This window comes from Homo sapiens, chromosome 14, assembly GCF_000001405.40.
Source record: "Homo sapiens chromosome 14, GRCh38.p14 Primary Assembly".
Classification (NCBI taxonomy): Eukaryota; Metazoa; Chordata; class Mammalia; order Primates; family Hominidae; genus Homo; species Homo sapiens.
Window position 1 is genome coordinate 101717618 of NC_000014.9, and position 17233 is coordinate 101734850.

The 17233-nt window shown below is 45.7% G+C and overlaps 2 long non-coding RNA genes across 2 annotated transcripts in view, besides 6 other annotated features; one reads left to right on the forward strand and one right to left on the reverse strand.

Moving 5' to 3' along the window:
• LINC02320 (long intergenic non-protein coding RNA 2320) overlaps positions 1-13689 on the reverse strand; it is a 102958-nt gene extending 89269 nt beyond the window's left edge. Inside the window, exon 1 of the long non-coding RNA NR_184269.1 lies at positions 13437-13689. This is a non-coding gene — a long non-coding RNA (long intergenic non-protein coding RNA 2320). The remainder of the gene's footprint in view (positions 1-13436) is intronic.
• Positions 827-1032: a silencer, noted in NCBI's record as "fragment chr14:102184781-102184986 (GRCh37/hg19 assembly coordinates)". NCBI's record gives its function as "represses an EF-1alpha promoter that drives an FKBP-Casp9 reporter gene in an ReSE screen in K562 erythroleukemia cells {active_cell/tissue: K562}" and the evidence as "EXISTENCE:reporter gene assay evidence [ECO:0000049][PMID:32094911]".
• Positions 4619-5559: an enhancer, noted in NCBI's record as "H3K27ac hESC enhancer chr14:102188573-102189513 (GRCh37/hg19 assembly coordinates)". NCBI's record gives its function as "activates a minimal SCP1, AML or CMV promoter by ChIP-STARR-seq in naive H9 embryonic stem cells {active_cell/tissue: H9 hESC(naive)}" and the evidence as "EXISTENCE:reporter gene assay evidence [ECO:0000049][PMID:30033119]".
• Positions 4779-4858: an enhancer, noted in NCBI's record as "active region_9042". NCBI's record gives its function as "activates an Ori minimal core promoter by ATAC-STARR-seq in GM12878 lymphoblastoid cells {active_cell/tissue: GM12878}" and the evidence as "EXISTENCE:reporter gene assay evidence [ECO:0000049][PMID:35858748]".
• On the forward strand, positions 12820-14908 carry LINC00239 (long intergenic non-protein coding RNA 239). The gene is made up of 4 exons (NR_026774.1): positions 12820-12870; positions 13740-13851; positions 14171-14359; positions 14619-14908. It is a non-coding gene; the product is annotated as a long intergenic non-protein coding RNA 239 (long non-coding RNA).
• Positions 13255-14454: an enhancer, noted in NCBI's record as "P300/CBP strongly-dependent group 1 enhancer chr14:102197209-102198408 (GRCh37/hg19 assembly coordinates)". NCBI's record gives its function as "activates an origin of replication core promoter dependent on BRD2, BRD4, P300/CBP, MED14 and CDK7 cofactors, with strong dependence on P300/CBP, by STARR-seq in HCT116 cells {active_cell/tissue: HCT116}" and the evidence as "EXISTENCE:reporter gene assay evidence [ECO:0000049][PMID:35650434]".
• Positions 13497-13556: an enhancer, noted in NCBI's record as "active region_9043". NCBI's record gives its function as "activates an Ori minimal core promoter by ATAC-STARR-seq in GM12878 lymphoblastoid cells {active_cell/tissue: GM12878}" and the evidence as "EXISTENCE:reporter gene assay evidence [ECO:0000049][PMID:35858748]".
• Positions 14287-14386: an enhancer, noted in NCBI's record as "active region_9044". NCBI's record gives its function as "activates an Ori minimal core promoter by ATAC-STARR-seq in GM12878 lymphoblastoid cells {active_cell/tissue: GM12878}" and the evidence as "EXISTENCE:reporter gene assay evidence [ECO:0000049][PMID:35858748]".
• Positions 14909-17233: the final 2325 nt, after the last annotated feature.

Sequence of the window (17233 nt, forward strand, 5' to 3'; positions counted from 1 at the left end):
AGAGAAATCAGCTCTGCCGGCATCTTTGTCTCAGACTTCTGACCTCCAGAACCGTGAGAGGACACATTTCTGTGGTTGAAGCCCTGCGTCTGTGAGATTTGTTACAGCAGCCCTTGCTGGCTAATATCATGGCTTGGACTAGACACGACCCCTTCACAGTTTTGGAGGTCAGAAGTCTGAGACCACGGTGCAGGCAGGGCTGTGCTCCCTCTGAGGGCGCTAGGAAGGGCCTGTTCCTGGCCTCCCTCAGAGCTTCTGCTGGTTCCTTGGCTTGGGGCAGCAGAACTCCAATCCACACGTGGCCCTCTCCCTGTGTGCGTGTCTGTGTCCAAATTTCCCCTTTTGGATAAAGACATCGGTCAGGTGGACTAGGACCCACCCTAATGACCACATCTTCACTTCAATACATCTGCAATGACCCTGTATCCAAATAAGTTCACATTCTGAGACGCTGGGAGTTACGACTCCAACACATGGATTTTGGCAGACACAATTCAACCTGTTACAGACTGGATTTCTCAGAGAAATTCCGGTGCTGAATCACTGGCCTCCAATGCGACCACATTCGAAGATAGGGCCATCAGGGAGGTAGCTAAGGTTATGAGGCCACGAGGGTGGGCCCTCAAGCCAATAGGGTTGGAGTCCTTATACCAAGAGGAAAGACACCAGAGACCACCCCCTCTCTAAGTGTGCACAGGGAAGAGGCCATGGGAGGATGCCGTGAGAAGGTGACACCCGCCGGCCAGGAAGAGAGGCCTTCCCAGAAACCAACCCCACGAGCGCCCTGATGTGGACTTCCAGCCTCCAAAACTGTGAGAAACAAGTTTCTGCTGTTTAAGCCACCCAGTCTGTGGCACTTCTTATGGCAGCCTAAGCAGAAGAAAATGCCACCCAGAGCCTTATCTATTAAATCGTTTGGTTGCAAATGACAGAAACTTAAATTAAACCACTTTAACCAGAGGAAAATTTCTAGCTGGGCATGGTGGCTCACACCTGTAATCCCAGCACTCTGGGAGGCCGAGGTGGGCAGATCCCTTGAGCTCAGGAGTTCGAGACCAGCTTTGGCAACATGGTGAAACCCCTGTCTGTACAAAAAATACCAAAAAATAGCTTGGTGTGCTGGCACATGCCTATAGTCTCAGCTACTCGGGAGGCTGAGGTAAGGGGATTGCTTGAGCCTTGGAGGTTGAGGCTGGAGCCAAGATTGTGGCAGAGTGAGACCTTGTGTCAATAAAAAGGAAAGGAAAGGAGAGGGGAGGAGAGGGGAGGAGAGGGGAGAGGAGGAGAGGGGAGGGGAGGGAAGGGGAAGGGAGGGGAGGAGGGGGAGGGCAGGGGAGCAGGGAAGGAGAAGGAAGGGGAAGGGAGGGGAGGAGAAGGGAGGGGAGGGGAGGGACCTAAGGAGGCATGTCACCTGAATGTCACGTGGAGTCCTGAGTAGAATCGTGGAACAGGAAGACGACATTAGGGAAAAACTAAGGGAATCTGAATAAAAGGTGGATTTAATATGTCAAAAATGGTGCTATAATGGTGACAAATGTACCATATGCTGTGAGGGGAGGGGAGGGGAGGGGAGGGGAGTAGGAAGGATTCTTAGCTCAAGAACTGAATAGGCCAAGCATAGATCTGGGCGCAGCAGTCTCCAGGGCTCTTCGGGCCCCACGTCTGTCTGTTTCTACGAATGCCTCTCCCAGCGGCCCTTTCCTCCCTGGGTTCTGTCCTGGAGTGACTCTCCAGCTGTGTGCCTGTCCGCTCAACAACTTCCATAGACAGGAAGCACTCCCTCCAGAAGCTCAGGGCTGTGTTGAGAGACTCACAGAGGCCAAGCAGCAGCTTACACAGGACACAGTGACAAGAGGACACAGTGACAATGAGACACAGGACACAGGACACAGTGACGACAGGACACAGTGACAACAGGGCACAGGACACAGAGATGATGGGACACAGGACACAGGGATGACGGGACACAGGACACAGTGGATCACAGGGGCCAGACATGAAACAGGGAACTCAGAAGGAACCCACAGAGATGACGAAGGACCCAGGAGGCCCCTGAAGGAGCTCTCAACGGCCTAGGCTGGGACAATTGGAGCCACAAAATAAAACAGTACTGGGTTATGACCCAAAGCAGAAAACAAATGTCCTTGAGTCTGTGGGGATACAGATCAATGACTGGATAAACACCTGAAGAGGGGAGAGGAGGTGAATCTCCCGCAGAAGAATTCCACCTAATGTATGCAGAAACACCTCCCTCAAGGAGGAGCAGCAGAACTCCCAGCTCGGGAGCGTGGGCTGCACTGACAGACGCATCCCAAGAGGACAGCACAGGGGCAGGCCAGGGGGAGGAGCTCCGTTTTTATTTTCAGGGGAAACCCTATGAACATGATCTCCGCCAGGTGGTCAAGGCCAGAATCAACAGGGATAAGTGGCGTTGATGGCACGGACCCTTGACCTTGATGTGATGAAATGGCCTCCCATAACCCCAGTCTAACCATGAGAACATCAGACAAATCCCAACTGAGGGACATCTTACAAAGCACTCGGCCACTTATCCTCAAAACTGTCACATTCAAACTGTCACCGTCGAGAGGAGCCTAGGGAGGCATGTCACCTGAATGTCACGTGGGGTCCTGAGTGGAATCGTGGAACAGGAAGAGGACATTAGGGAAAAACTAAGGGAATGTGAATAAAGTGTGGACTTAAGGTGTCAATAACGGTGCCGTAATGGTGACAGCTGTACCACATGCTGCGAGATGTTCGCAATCAGGGAGGTCATGTGAGAGGTACGGAACGCTCTGTACTAGCTTCACAATGATTCTGTGCCTCTAGAGCCGTCCTAAAAGAAAACGTTTATTTAACAGTATCAATTTTTTTTAAAGAGGGGGCCAGTTGGGGCCGAAAAGGAATGTTGGATACTCAAGAAATATGGATCTATTAAACCTCACATCAAAATACATTCTGAATTCCAGATGGATGTAAGATCCAAACATATATATTTTTAGCCCAGGCGCAGTGGCTCACGCTTATAATCCCAGCACTTTGGGAGGCTGAGGCAGGTGGATGGCTTGAGCCCAAGAATTCGAGACCAGCCTAGGCAACACGATAAGATTCTGTCTCTACCAAAAAATAAAAAATAATGCTAATAATTAGCCAGGCATGGTGGTGTGTGACTATTGTCCCAGCTACTTGGGAGGCTGAGGTGGGAGGATCACTTGAGACCAGGAGGTGGAGGGTGCAGTGAGCCGAGATCACACCACTGCACTCCAGCCTGGGCGACAGAGTGAGACCCTGACCCTATCTCTTTCTTTCTGTCTCTTCTCTCTCTCTCTGCAGATACATAGATAGATAGATAGATAGATAGATAGATAGATAGATAGATAGACAGACAGACAGAGACACACACACATATATGGAGATATATATATAAATAATATATTATATGTTTATATATAAATATATTTATTTATATATATATTATATATATAATATATATATTATATATATATAATATATATATAATATATATATATTATATATATATAATATATATATATGAAATCATGAAGGCTTCATGGCAGGAAAATAGGGTCTGGAGGCAGGGAACAGAAGGCCGATTCACACTTCAGCTATGACAGGAAACACCCTCTCCATAGGGCATACGCCTTAAATGACTGTGTAACTTTACTTTGATCTCTCCATTTACATCAGGAATACCCAAAGTAACCAGTGCAATCCTCTAGGGGGTATTTAAACTCCCAAAAATTCTGTAACTTGGCCCTTGAGCCCCTACGCTCAGGCCTGCCCCCACACTGTGGAGGGTTCTTCCGTTTTCAGTAAATCCCTTCCTTCCTTCCCTGCTTTGTTTGTGCGTTTTGTCCACTTCTTTGTTCAAGACACCAAGAACCTGGACACCTTCTACCGGTAATAAAGGTACTAAAGAGAAAATGGAGGTAAATACTTATATAATCTTAAAATAAAGAAGCTGGCTGGGCACAGTGGCTCACGCCTATAATCCCAACACTTTGGGAGGCTGCAGCAGAAGGATCACTTGAGCCCAGGAGTTTGAGAGCAGCCTGGGCAACATAATGAGACCGTGTCTCTACAAAAATAAAATAAAATAAAAATAAAGAAGTTCTTTCTACATATCACTCCAAAGACAAAAACCACAAAAGATAGCTTTAACTACAGAAAATACAATACTATACATATGGCCAATAAGAAAAATAAGATAGACACTAATAAAAATAGCAAATAATTATCTCATACTCGCTGTATTCCAGGCCCTGTTATAAGTACTGTATTAACTCATTTAATTCCCACAACAAACCTACAAGGTACTGCAAAGGCTCTGGTAGGTGAAGCAATGCACCCAAAGCTACAGAGCTAGGAAGCGGTGGGGCAGTGTGGCTACGCCTGTGCCCTGAACCACAAAAGTAACAGGCACACGGCTGACTGGGGAAAACGTGAGAACATTTTGTGAACCATATCCGAAAAGCAAAGATTATATCTTTATGACGGTAATATATATATGCACTCTTACCAATAAGAAAAAGACAAACATCTCAGTAGAAAAACAGGCAAAGGAAGTCATTCGCAAAGGCAATCCACAAAGGAAGTCATTCAGTCAATGCTTGTAAAAAAAAAAAAAAAAAAGTTCAACCTCAACAGTTAACAAAGAGATGCAAATTAAAACGGACATCTTCCCACCCCATCAAGCTGACTCATGCCAAAGAAATCAGTCTCCGGTCGCCAGTCTACGTAAAGCGAGCCTGGCACGTTGGGTTCTTAGGGAGGTACCACAGGATGTTTACGAGGGGCTTGCCTCGGCATCGGTGGAAGGAGGAGAGAGAAGCAGGATTGGACGAGGGAGAAGGCAAACTTCCATGCAGACCCAGTGATAGCCCCAAAGACCAAACAGTAGCCTCCAAGCTAGAGTGGCCCCGGGAGACCTTCCTGACTCGGGCAGAGGTGGTCCCCACATTGAGGAGTCGTTGAATGCAGTTGCCCAGGAAGAGTCCCGGCTTTGGACAGGGTGGCTCTTTGCAGCTGAACAGTCTCTGAAGGGACTGAGAGTTGAAGGCACCCCAAGCAGCTGGGGTAACAAGTCCTTCCCGGAAGGGGGATCTAGGTGGCTCATCACAGTGAAGACATACAAAAATGTTTATTAAAAGCCAGAGGCATGGTGGCTCATGCCTGTTATCCCAGCACTTTGGGAGGCTGAGGAAGGAGGATCAATTGAGCCCAGGAGTTCAAGACCAGCCTGGACAACATGGTGAAACCCTGTCTCTACAAAAGAAAAAAATTTAAAAATTAAAATTAAAATTAAAAGTCACTAACATTAAAGAAATGCAAATCAAAACTACAATGAGATACCAGCTCACATCCATTAAGATGTACCATAAAAAAAAAAAAAAAAACACAGAAAATAAGTGTTGGGGAAGATGAGGAGAAATTGGACCCCTTGTACACTGTTGGTGGGAATTACAGAGGTGCAGCTGCTGTAGAAACAATATGGGTGTAAGGATTAATACCGAGTGTCAGCCTGATTGGAATGAAGGATGGAAAGTATTGATCCTGGGTGTGTCTGTGAGGGTGTCGGCAAAGGAGATTAACTTTGAGTCAGGGGGTTGGTAGCGGCAGGCCCACCCTTAATCTGGGTGGGCACCATCTAATCAGCTGCCAGAGAGGCCAGAATATAAAGCAGGCAGAAGAATGTGAAAAGACTAGACTGGCCCAGCCTCCCAGCCTGCATCTTTCTGCTGTGCTGGATGCTTCCTGACCTCGAACATCGGAATCCAAGTTCCTCAGCTTTGGGACTCGGGCTGGCTTCCTTGCTCCTCAGCTTGAGACGGCCTATCGTGGGACCTTGTGATTGTGTGAGTTAATGCTCCTTAATAAACTATCCCATATATATATATATGTCCCATATATATATATAAACTATATATGTATATATAACTATATATGTATATATACAAACATATATGTATATGTATATATAACTATATGTGTATATAAACTATATATAAACTATATATATGTCCCATATACATACATATAAACTATCCTATATATATATCCCATATATATATCCTATATATATCCTATATATATATCCTCTATATATATCTTCTATATATATCCTCTCTATATATATCCTCTATATATATCCTCTATATATATCCTCTATATATATATATCCTCTATATACATATCCTCTATATATATATATCCTCTATATACATATCCTCTATATATATATATCCTCTATATACATATCCTCTATATATATATCTCCTCTATATATATCCTCTATATATATATCCTCTATATATATATCCTCTATATATATATATCCTCTATATATATATCCTCTATATATATATCCTCTATATATATATATCCTGTATATATATATATCCTTTATATATATCCTCTCTCTATATATATATCCTCTATATATATATCCTCTATATATATATATATCCTCTATATATATATATCCTCTATATATATATCCTCTATATATATATCCTCTATATATATATCCTCTATATATCCTCTACATATATCCTATATATTCTATATATATATCCTACATATATCCTATATATATATCCTACATATATCTCCTACATATCTCCTATATATATATCTCCTATCTATATATATCTCCTATTTTATGTCCTATATATATATCTCCTATCTATATGTCCTATATATATATATCTCCTATCCATATATATCCTGTATATATCTCCTATCCATATATATCCTGTATATATCTCCTATCCATATATATCCTGTATATATCTCCTATCCATATACCCTGTATATCTGCTATCCATATATACCCTATATATATCCTCTACATATATACCCTATATATATGTCCTCTACATATATACCCTATATATATGTCCTCTACATATATACCCTATATATATGTCCTCTACATATATACCCTATATATATGTCCTCTATATATATACCCTATATATCTGTCCTATATATGTCCTATATATATCTGTCCTATATATATGTCCTATATATATCCTATATATATGTCCTATATATATATCCTATGTATATGTCCTATATATACCCTATATATGTGTCCTATATATACCCTATATATGTGTCCTATATATATACCCTATATATGTGTCCTATATATATACCCTATATATGTGTCCTATATATATACCCTATATATGTGTCCTATATATATACCCTATATATATGTCCTATATATATATCCTATATATATATGTCCTATATATATATCCTATATATATGTCCTATATATATATCCTATATATATGTCCTATATATATATCCTATATATATGTCCTATATATATCCTATATATATATGTCCTATATATATCCTATATATACATGTCCTATATATATATCCTATATATACATGTCCTATATATATCCTATATATACATGTCCTATATATATCCTATATATATGTCCTGTATATATATCCTATATATATATGTCCTATATATATCCTATATATATGTCCTATATATATCCTATATATGTCCTATATATATATCCTATATATATATGTCCTATATATATATCCTATATATATATGTCCTATATATATATCCTATATATATATGTCCTATATATATATCCTATATATATATGTCCTATATATATATGTCCTATTAGTTCTGTCCCTCTAGAGAACCCTGACTAATACAATAGGTATCCCTCCAAAAATTAAAAATAGAATTTCTATAAGATCCAGCAATTCCACTTCTGAGTATATACCCTAAAGAATTAAAAGCAGGCAGTCAAAGAGATATTTGCACACCCATGTTCATAACAACAGCATTAACAATAGCTAAAACATGGAAGCAGCCCAAAGTGTCTGTGGGTGGATGAGTGGATACGTGAAAAGTAGCCCATCCAGACAAAGGAATATCACTCAGGCTTAAAAAAGGACATGTGGCTCACAACAGTAATCCCAGCACTTTGGGAGGCTGAGGCAGGTAGATCATGAGGTCAGCAGTTTGAGACCAGCCTGGCCAACATGGTGAAACCCCATCTCTACTAAAAAAAAAATACAAAAGTTAGCCGGATATGGTGGCGGGCACCTGTAATCCCAGCTACTTGGGAGGCTGAGGCAGAAGAATCATTTGAACTCGGGAGGCGGAGGTTGCAGTGAGCCCCAAGATTGCGCCACCGCACTCCAGCCTGGCAACAGAGTGAGACTCCATCTCAAAAAAAAAAAAAAAAGAAGAAGAAGAACTTTATGCAATCTGCTACAGTATGGGCGAACTTGGGGACACTGTGTCACAAAAAGACAAATACTAGATGATTCCCCTTACATGAGGCACCCAGAGTAGTCAAAAATATAGAGACAGAAGGGAGAATGGTGGGGACCAGGAGCTGGGAGGGGCAATGGGGAGTTAGCATTTAACGGGTATGGAATTTCCACTTTGCAAGATGAAAAGAGTTAACGGAGATGGCTGGTGATGTTTGCACATTACAAACTGTAGGCTTAAAAAGGGTTACGATGGTAAATGTTTTGTTATGTATATTTTACCACAACAAAAAAAAAATTGAAAAAAAGCAGTCATTGTGATATGCAGCCTATTTCTGCAGACTCCCTGACAGGGGTCAAATGGGGGTTAAAAGGCCGGACATGGTGGCTCACGCCTGTAATCCCAACACTTTGGGAGGCTCAGGCAGGTGGATTGATTGAGCTCAAAAGTTTGCGATCAGCCTAAGTAACACAGCAAGACCCCGACTCACAAAAACATTTTTAAAATTAGCCAGGCATGATGGCGTGCACCTGTGATCCCAGATATTTGGAAGCTGAGTCGGGAGAATCACTGGAGCCAGGGAGGTCAAGGCTGCAGTGAGCCGTGATCGTGCCACGGCACTCCAGCCTGGGCAACAAAGCAAGACACTGTCTGAAAAAAAGAAAGGGCGTTAGAGCTCTGAGTAATTCTGACAAGATCTCCATGCCTCCCTCCCCCAACTCACACCCTCAGCTCTCACATCCCTCCCCCTGTCTGCTGTGGAGACCTCCAGGACCTATCCCATGGTGCCCTATACCCAGCTATCTGCTACAGGAACTGGCTTGCACCAGCTTGCAAGAGCCCATTGTTAAATGTTTAAATATTCCACAAGCCTGCTGTTAAACCACTGGTAGCTTGAAATGAGCCATGGTGGGAGTATTTACACCATGGAAAGTGTCAAAGGCTACACGTCAGGCCAAAGAGTGCGAGTGCACTCTAACAGCCTCAGGGCACAGCTGCAAACGCTGTTCTCCTCATTCGCCAAAGACCCAGGACACCCAGGTCGTCACTTCACCCCAGGTCGTACTTCACCCCAGGCCCTAACCCCTGTAAGGCCATTCTCACCTGCTAATCCAACCCCACCTCCAGGCCTCCTTACTCCCAAAACCCTCACTGTTTCCTCTGGAGCTTGAGACACGCCGGGAGCCACAGCTCCTCCTTCCCACAGCTTCTCTCCACCTGCTTGCTCTGACTGGAACCCGGGCCCCTGGAGCATCCTCCGTTGCAGTTACTTCCAGATCAACCCCCACCTTCCCCAAACCCGCCAGCCTTGAAGCTGGTGCCATCACACTATGCTCTGTGCCGCCTGTCCTGTCTGGTTCTCTGCAGACCCTAGTCCCCTCCGTCTTGTTCCTACGCGACTCCTACTCCCGGTTCACTGTCACTCTTGCTAAATCCCTGTCCTAATTCTTGGCGATTTAAATCTCCACGGAGATGATCCTCCTCCTTCCCTGACCTTTGCTCCTCCAATGATCTTGCCTTCTACCCGTGCTCGGCCACCTCTCCCACGCTCCTTCTCTAGATCCCTACGTGCCATCCAACAGAGTGGCCACAAACCCCTCAAAATGAGCCTGGTCCAAAGTGAGAGGCACTGTCTGTGTAAATCACATGCGAGGTTTCAAAGTCGTAGTGTGGGAAAAAATGTAAAATACTTCACTAATAATTCTGAATGTTGATTACATGTTGAGGTGACATTTGGGATGCATTTGGGTTAAATAGAATATAATTGTACCTTCTTTACCTCATGTCCCACTCCCCTTCTTCCCATGTGGACTCCATAGTCCATTGTGCCACCCCTCTCTCCTGTGCACCTTCAGCCCCCTCACCTTTCTCTCATTTCCTCATACTCGCCTGGGAAAAACCTCCAACCTGCTCAATTACAACACAGTGCCAGCACCTGTTAAGCTGAACGAGGTTGAAGGAAAACACGCAAAGATTCTGACCCTCCACTCAGGTTTTGGCTTCCCCCATTTCAGCAGCGCTCCACCACCACCACCAATTGTTGATTTGTCCTCCCTATTGGAGCCAACCCATCATCTCCCATTATAATAATTCATTCATTAAAAAAATTAAAACTTGATCTCTGATATGGTTTGGCTGTGTCCCCAACCACATCTCATCTTGAATTGTGGTTACCATAATTCCCACTTGTCATGGGAGGGACCCGGTGGGAGGTAATTGAATCATGGGGGTGGTTACCCCCATGCTACTGTTCTCATGATAGTGAGTGAGTTCCCACGAGATCTGATGGTTCAATAAGGGGCTTTCCCCCTTTTTGCTCGGTACTTCTCCTTGCTGCTGCCATATGAAGATATGAAGAAGGACATATTTGCTTCCCCTTCTGCCATGACTGTAAGTTTCCTGAGGCCTCCCCAGCCATGCTGAACTGTCAGTCAATTAAACCTCTTTCCTTTGTAAATTACCCAGTCTCGGGTATGTCTTTATTGGCAACGTGAGAACGGACTAATAAAATCTCTCTCTCCCTTTCTGCTCTCCTTTATAGCAAGACTCTTTGGAAGTATCCATCTGGGCCAGAGTGCAGTGGCATACTCACAGCTCACTGCAGCCTCGATCTCCTGAGCCCAAGCAATTCTCGCACCTCAGCCTCTTAGTAGCTGGGACTACAGGTGTGCACCACCACTCCCCGCTAATTTGTAAAAATTTTTTGTAGGCCGGGCGCAATGTCTCATCCCTGTAATTGCAGCACTTTGGGAGGCCGAGGTGGGCGGATCACCTGAGGTCAGGAGTTGGAGACCAGCCTGGCCAACATGGTGAAACCTTGTCTCTAGTAAAATACAAAAAATTAGCCAGGTGTGTTGGCGGGCACCTGTAATCCCAGCTACTCAGGAGGCTGAATGAAGAGAATTGCTTGAACCTGGGAGGTGGAGGTTGCAGTGAGCTGAGGTTGCACCACTGCACTCCACCCTGGGCTACAGAGCGAGACTCTGTCAAAAAAAAAAAAAATTAAAAAAAAAATTTGTAGAGACAGAGTCTTGCTATGTTTCCCAGGTTGCTCTGGAACTCTTGGCCTCAAGCAATCCCTACCTCAACTTCCCAAAGTGCTGAGCTTATAGGTGTGAGCCCCTGCACCCAGCTGGAAGTATCTATTCTTATTATCTTCAATTTTTCTCCTCCCATTTTCTCTTGAACCTTTTCAATCAGTATTTGCCTCCTACCACCACATTGAAGCCCTCCAGTGGCTTCCCTATTTCATTTGGGATAAAATCCAAAGTCTTGGCCAGGTGCGGTGGCTCATGCCTGTAATCCCAACACTTTGGGAGGCCAAGGTGGGCAGATCACTTAAGCTCAGGAGTTCAAGACCAGCCTGGGCAACATGGTGAAACCCCATCTCTACAAAAAGTACAAAAATTAGCCATGTGTAGGGGCGCATGGCTGTAATCCCAACTACTTGAGGTGCTGAGGCAGGAGGATTGCGTGAACTTGGGAGGTCGAGGCTGTAGTGAGCCAAGATCATGCCACTGCACTCCAGCATGGGTGACAGAGCGAGACCTTGTCTCAAAAAAGAAAAATAAAGCCAGAGTCTTCGCAGTGCCCACAAGACCCTACGTGACCTGATCTCCCATGACTCATTGCTCCTCGACAGCCACCACTCCGTTCCATGGAGTAGCCCAGGCCAACTGCTCTGCAGCCAAACTCAGGGAAACTTGGAGAACATGTGTGGACCAGAGGACCCCTTCCTCCTGGCTACCAAAAGAACCCCCAAATCCTGCAGCCCACCAGCTGTGTGCCCAGACACAATCTGGAGTAGAGGAGTAGACAGTGGCAGCCATCAGAAGCCCCACTGGCCAAACACTTCAGCCTCAGAATGCTGAGCTGCTCAAAGAACTGGTTAAATGTTTGTATTAGACCAAGGTTACTAGAATGGATGTTTCTCCCCATTGTATTACCCAGCAGAGAGTACCTTTCAAGAAAGATCAGATTAATTAAGTAGGAAAATGAAGACACTCTATTTTCTTTGCACATCTGATGTATTGTGAGTGATTTTGTGACCCTGCTACGTGCACGCATATGCACAGAAAAAAAATATCTTAGAATGTAGACCAAAATATTAACAGTGGTTATGGATGAGTGATGGATGAGTGAACTAACTATAGATTTGGAAGGATATTGTCTGTTTTAAAAGAAAATGAACACTTTCACTCCCAAACAAGACGGAATGTAGAGACTGGATTTCCTCTCCTGCCTGAAAAAGTCAAAATAAATTGGACCAAATATATAAAACAAGAGTTCTCAAGACACTGGATGATATGGTTTTGCTATGTCCCCACCCAAATCTCATCTTGAATTGTAGCTCCCATAATTCCCATGTGTTGTGGGAGGGACCTGGTGGGAGATATTTGAATCATGGGGGTGGTTTCCCCCATACTGTTCTCGTGGTAGTGAACAAGTCTCACGAGATCTGATGGTTTTATAAGGGGTTTCCCTCTCCACTTGGTTCCATTCTCTCTTGTCCACCACCATATAAGATGTGCCTTTCACCTTCTGCCATGATTGTAAGGCTTCCCCAGGCCCGTGGAACTGTGAGTCCATTAAACCTATTAAACCTGTTTTTCCTTATAATTTACCCAGTCTCGGGTATGTCTTTATCAGCAGCATGAGGACAGACTAATACACTGGATATCAGGTAACTAGGCACAATGATTTCTGAGAATGTGGAAAATAAAGTGAGCCTGCAATTAACCCAGCTTCCTTTCTTGAGAGGGTTTCCAAGCTACAGTATGGACAAGGGTACCCAGGTGGGGCCTGGCAGGCTCTTCGAGTTGGGAAGACAGAGCTGAGAGTCCAGGGAGACTCTGGTCACAGGTAGGGGCAGGGGGGTGATGCTGAGAGCCCCTGGGGCATGCCTGCCCTCTACAAAGCTCGTGGTTGAATGCAGGGAGGTGGTCTGGGGGTGGACTTGGGCAATGGGGAGGCTGCATGGGTTAGAGCCAAGCTCTCCCCTCTTCCAGTCTGTCTGGGCCTCTGCAGCTCCCGGTAACTTTGCACTGATTCCAGAGACAGTGATTGCTCAGGTACCCAGGTCTGGGTGTAATTAAAAAAAAAACAAAACAACAACAACAACAACAACAACAACAAAAAACCAAACCTGGCTCTTGGTGCTTTCAGAGATGGCTCAGAGCAGGAATTCTCTAGCTTTGGGGTGCATCCTCAGAGGTGGGGGGGGGCTTGCTGAAAAGACAGGTGTATGGTCCCACCTCAGGCCTGCTGAACAGAAGCTCTGGAGCAGGCTCAGGAGTTTCTTTTCTAACAGGCTCCCCGAGAGATCCTAGCAAATGTTTGCACAACACTCACTTGGAAGCTATGTGACCAAAACCATGATCACAGGGTTGTCCCTGAACACGGTGGGGAAATAACCTCTCCCTTAAATCTCCCCTGCGTGGTGACTTAGGGGAGGAGCCGGAAGAGAGCAGTGCTTCACAATAAAAGGAAGAATTGCTTGAACGGAGGCGTTTCAGGCATGAGTCACAGGCCGGGTGTGGAAGAGGAAAGTGTGAAGCAAGGTAGGCTTCCCAGCACCCCTCCATGCACAGCAGGGGCTGGCCAGCCTCAGCCAGGCCAGATGGAGCCCTGGAGGGTGGGGCTGGCTGCCCAGCTAGAGTGTCTCCTTTTACTTCCAGCAGGAAAAAAAGGCCTCCTGTCAATAGCAGAATCATCTACGTTTTCCCTGCCTTCCTCACTTAAATGCTTTCGAGGAGTGGGAGGAAGAAATTGGAGGCTGGAATGAATACCCTTTGCCCTCCTCTGAAAGCAGCCTGGGAGGGGTGACGGGGTGTAGGAGCAGAGACTTCAAGTGGCCCCCACCTGCCAAACCATTCTCAGGGACAGGTACCAGCTGGGATGTTGGCAGCAGCCGCTCCCCTGCAAGGAGAACCTCCCACTTCCTGTCCCGCACACCTGCCTCATTGGAAAGTGACGCACCCACTGTTTGGCCTCGGCAGCCTGATGTTTCTCATCACACAGGAAGACGGTCATGCTACAGGAAGACCTCGGACTTTGCATCCAGCAGATGTGAGTTCAAATTCCAGCTTTGTAATTTGCAAGCTCAGAGGTGGATTTGCTGGGAAGCTAAACAAGCTTACCTGCAGAGCCCCCAGCTTGCATGGGCCCCTCCCAAGACCTTAACCTCATTTTGTATTCATAATTTTGTAGTCTTTTCCCTTCAAAAGGCAGCCCAAATTTAAAAGCATTAAGCCCCACAAGACCTGAGTCCACCTAGGAGGTGGGAGATATCCCTTGCAGCATGAGAATAATAATTACCACCTCGTAGGGTTGTTCTAGAGATTGTCAGACCGAGACCACGCCACACACCCAGAAGGCACCCAAGTCACAGAGCCTGATATTGTTCCTGGAGCGCCATTGCATCATCCTTGACCACAAGATCTGCGTCATTGGATTTGTCTCAAAAACTTGGGACTCTGGAGATAAAACCTCATTGCAAGGCTACCTTTGCCACTGTATCTTAGCAGCTTTTGAAGCAAAGCATTTCAATATTTAGACACTGTGTTTCTAATGGGTACTGGGATCAAAATAATAAAAACTCAGTCTGCAAAGGGAGAAGAATAGAAACCAGCAGATTTATTATTTCACAGAATGTTCCTCTCCTCTCAGGTAAACATGCCTAATAATATCTGCTTAACTAATGAGCACCCGCATTGTCAGTGGGGCCTTGACTCTGACGACGTAATGCATTTCTGTGCCATTGCACCCCCCACCCATCTCGGAGAGCATCTGAAAATTAAGTGGGGCAGATGTAATTATGCATCTAATATGCAAGGTACATGTGCATGTAGAAGTGTGCATTGTGTAAACAACTGTATCAAATCAACTGCATGTATCTGCTTGGCTCACGTCCTACAAGCACAATTTTCATTTTATTCCAGTTACTTCTTTTTTTTTTTTTTTTTTACAGAGTCTCACTGTGTTGCCCGGGCTGGAGTGCAGCAGCGCCATATTGGCTCACTGCAACCTCCGCCTCTCAGGTTCAAGCAATTCTCATGCCTCAGCCTCCCAAGTAGCTGGAATTACAGGCATGCGCCACCACACCCAGCTAATTTTTGTACTTTTAGTAGAGGTGGGGTTTCACCATGCGTTGGCTGGTCTCAAACTCCTCACTTCAGGTGATCTGCCCACCTTGGCCTCCCAAAGTCCTGGGATTACAGGCATCAGCCACCATGCCCGGCCTTCCAGTTACTTCTTGCTGGCTAATAAATCACCCCAGAACCAAGTGGCTTAAGACAGCCATGAGTGTTTTGTAACAAGCATTGGATGACTATTTCCCCCAGCCCTGGGGACTAACTAGGCTCAGCTTATCTGGGTCTTTCATCCAGTTGCAGTCAGTGGCTTGTGTTTGAGTCATCTGAAGGCTTCCTCACTCACACAGCTGGCATTGGTGTTGCCTGTTGGCTGGGATCCCAGCTGGGAGTGCTGGCCTCTGTGTGTGGACTGGGCTTCCTCCTAGCATGGCGGCTGTGTTCTGAGGCCCAGCGTCCTGAGAGAGGTGGGCAGAAGGTGTATTGCCTTTTACGGCCTAGTCTTGTCAGTCGTGTAAGTTTTACCAAACTCACAGGCCAGCCTGGTTTCAAGGAAGGGAACATAGTCCTACCTCTCAACAGGAGGACTATCATTGCCACATTGTAAAAAAGAGCATGCAGGATGGGAGGCCTTATTTTGGCCACCTTGGAAAGTGAAACCTGCCACACATACCTTCCAAGTATGAATAGTAAATCATTGTGTTTTCCTTAAACTTCATCTCTAAGGAGGCCTGCTGGATGATTATTTGTGAATCTAGTGGTCATCACTGTCTGTGTTATGAACTTACAATTAATGAGCATGCATTTTCTTGGACGATAATAATCCATAATTCTGACTTCTTACTATTCAGATTAATCTTCTTCCCACTTTCCCGGTAAGAGTGACTTTGCTGTATTTCGGGGCAGATTCATCCTCCAAGTTACCCTTGCTGCTCCTGAAGCTGAGCAGATTAGCTCCCCAGAAAATAGCATTTTCCCAGAGGTGCAGGTTGATTTTCTCACGTCCCTCTTTCCGCATGGGAAACAGACTGCAGTTGAGATTCACATGCAGCAGCCTTGGGCTATTTCGTTGAGAATCAAATCCGCAGAGATGTGGCATGAAAGGAAAGAAGGCGAGTGCACAGCATGCTCTGGGCTTTCAGGTCACTCAGTGCTCCTCGGAGCCGCACCAGACACAGAAGACAACACAGGCTCCACCTGGGGGACAGGTTCCACACGGTGTGGCCCAGCGTGACAGTGAGGGTTCCTCCCATAACCAGCACGGGGCTCTATGTAAGGCCATTCCCTCCCAAAGGAAACTCTTGCGAGATCATTTTTAAGGCTAGTTTCTAGTCTTCTAGCAACCGGGCTGGGTTAGAATTCATGCATTTTTTTAGACTTCCATCCTCAGCACTGAAGGCCCACTTCTGAGTGTGCTCCAAGCTGTGCCCAGGGCAGGGAGATGATTCAGACACAGCTGTGCCCTCCACAGGTCACAGGTGGGTGGAGAAGAGTCATCCCTGCCCACAGGGACAGTTGGTAACAGGGAAAAGGGAAGAACAGGGCTAAGGGAACCCAGGAAAAGCCCGAGTCAGGTGTTAGAGAAGCAAGCAGCCAGAGTGGGCTGAGGCGGGGGGACGCGGGGGGACGCAAGGGGACGTGGGGTGACGGGAGGCCTCCAGCAGGGGTGCAGCTGTGGAAACCCAAGGAGCGCTGCAAGCAACGTAACTAAGGCTGGGCGGGGAGGGGAAGAGATGAAGCTGAAGTCAGTGGAAACCAGATGGCCAAGGGCCTGGAGAGCCGAGCCAGGGGTGGAACTTCATCCTGAGGGCCGTGGCGAGCTACTAAAGGGATTTCAGGAGGGCAGTAATAC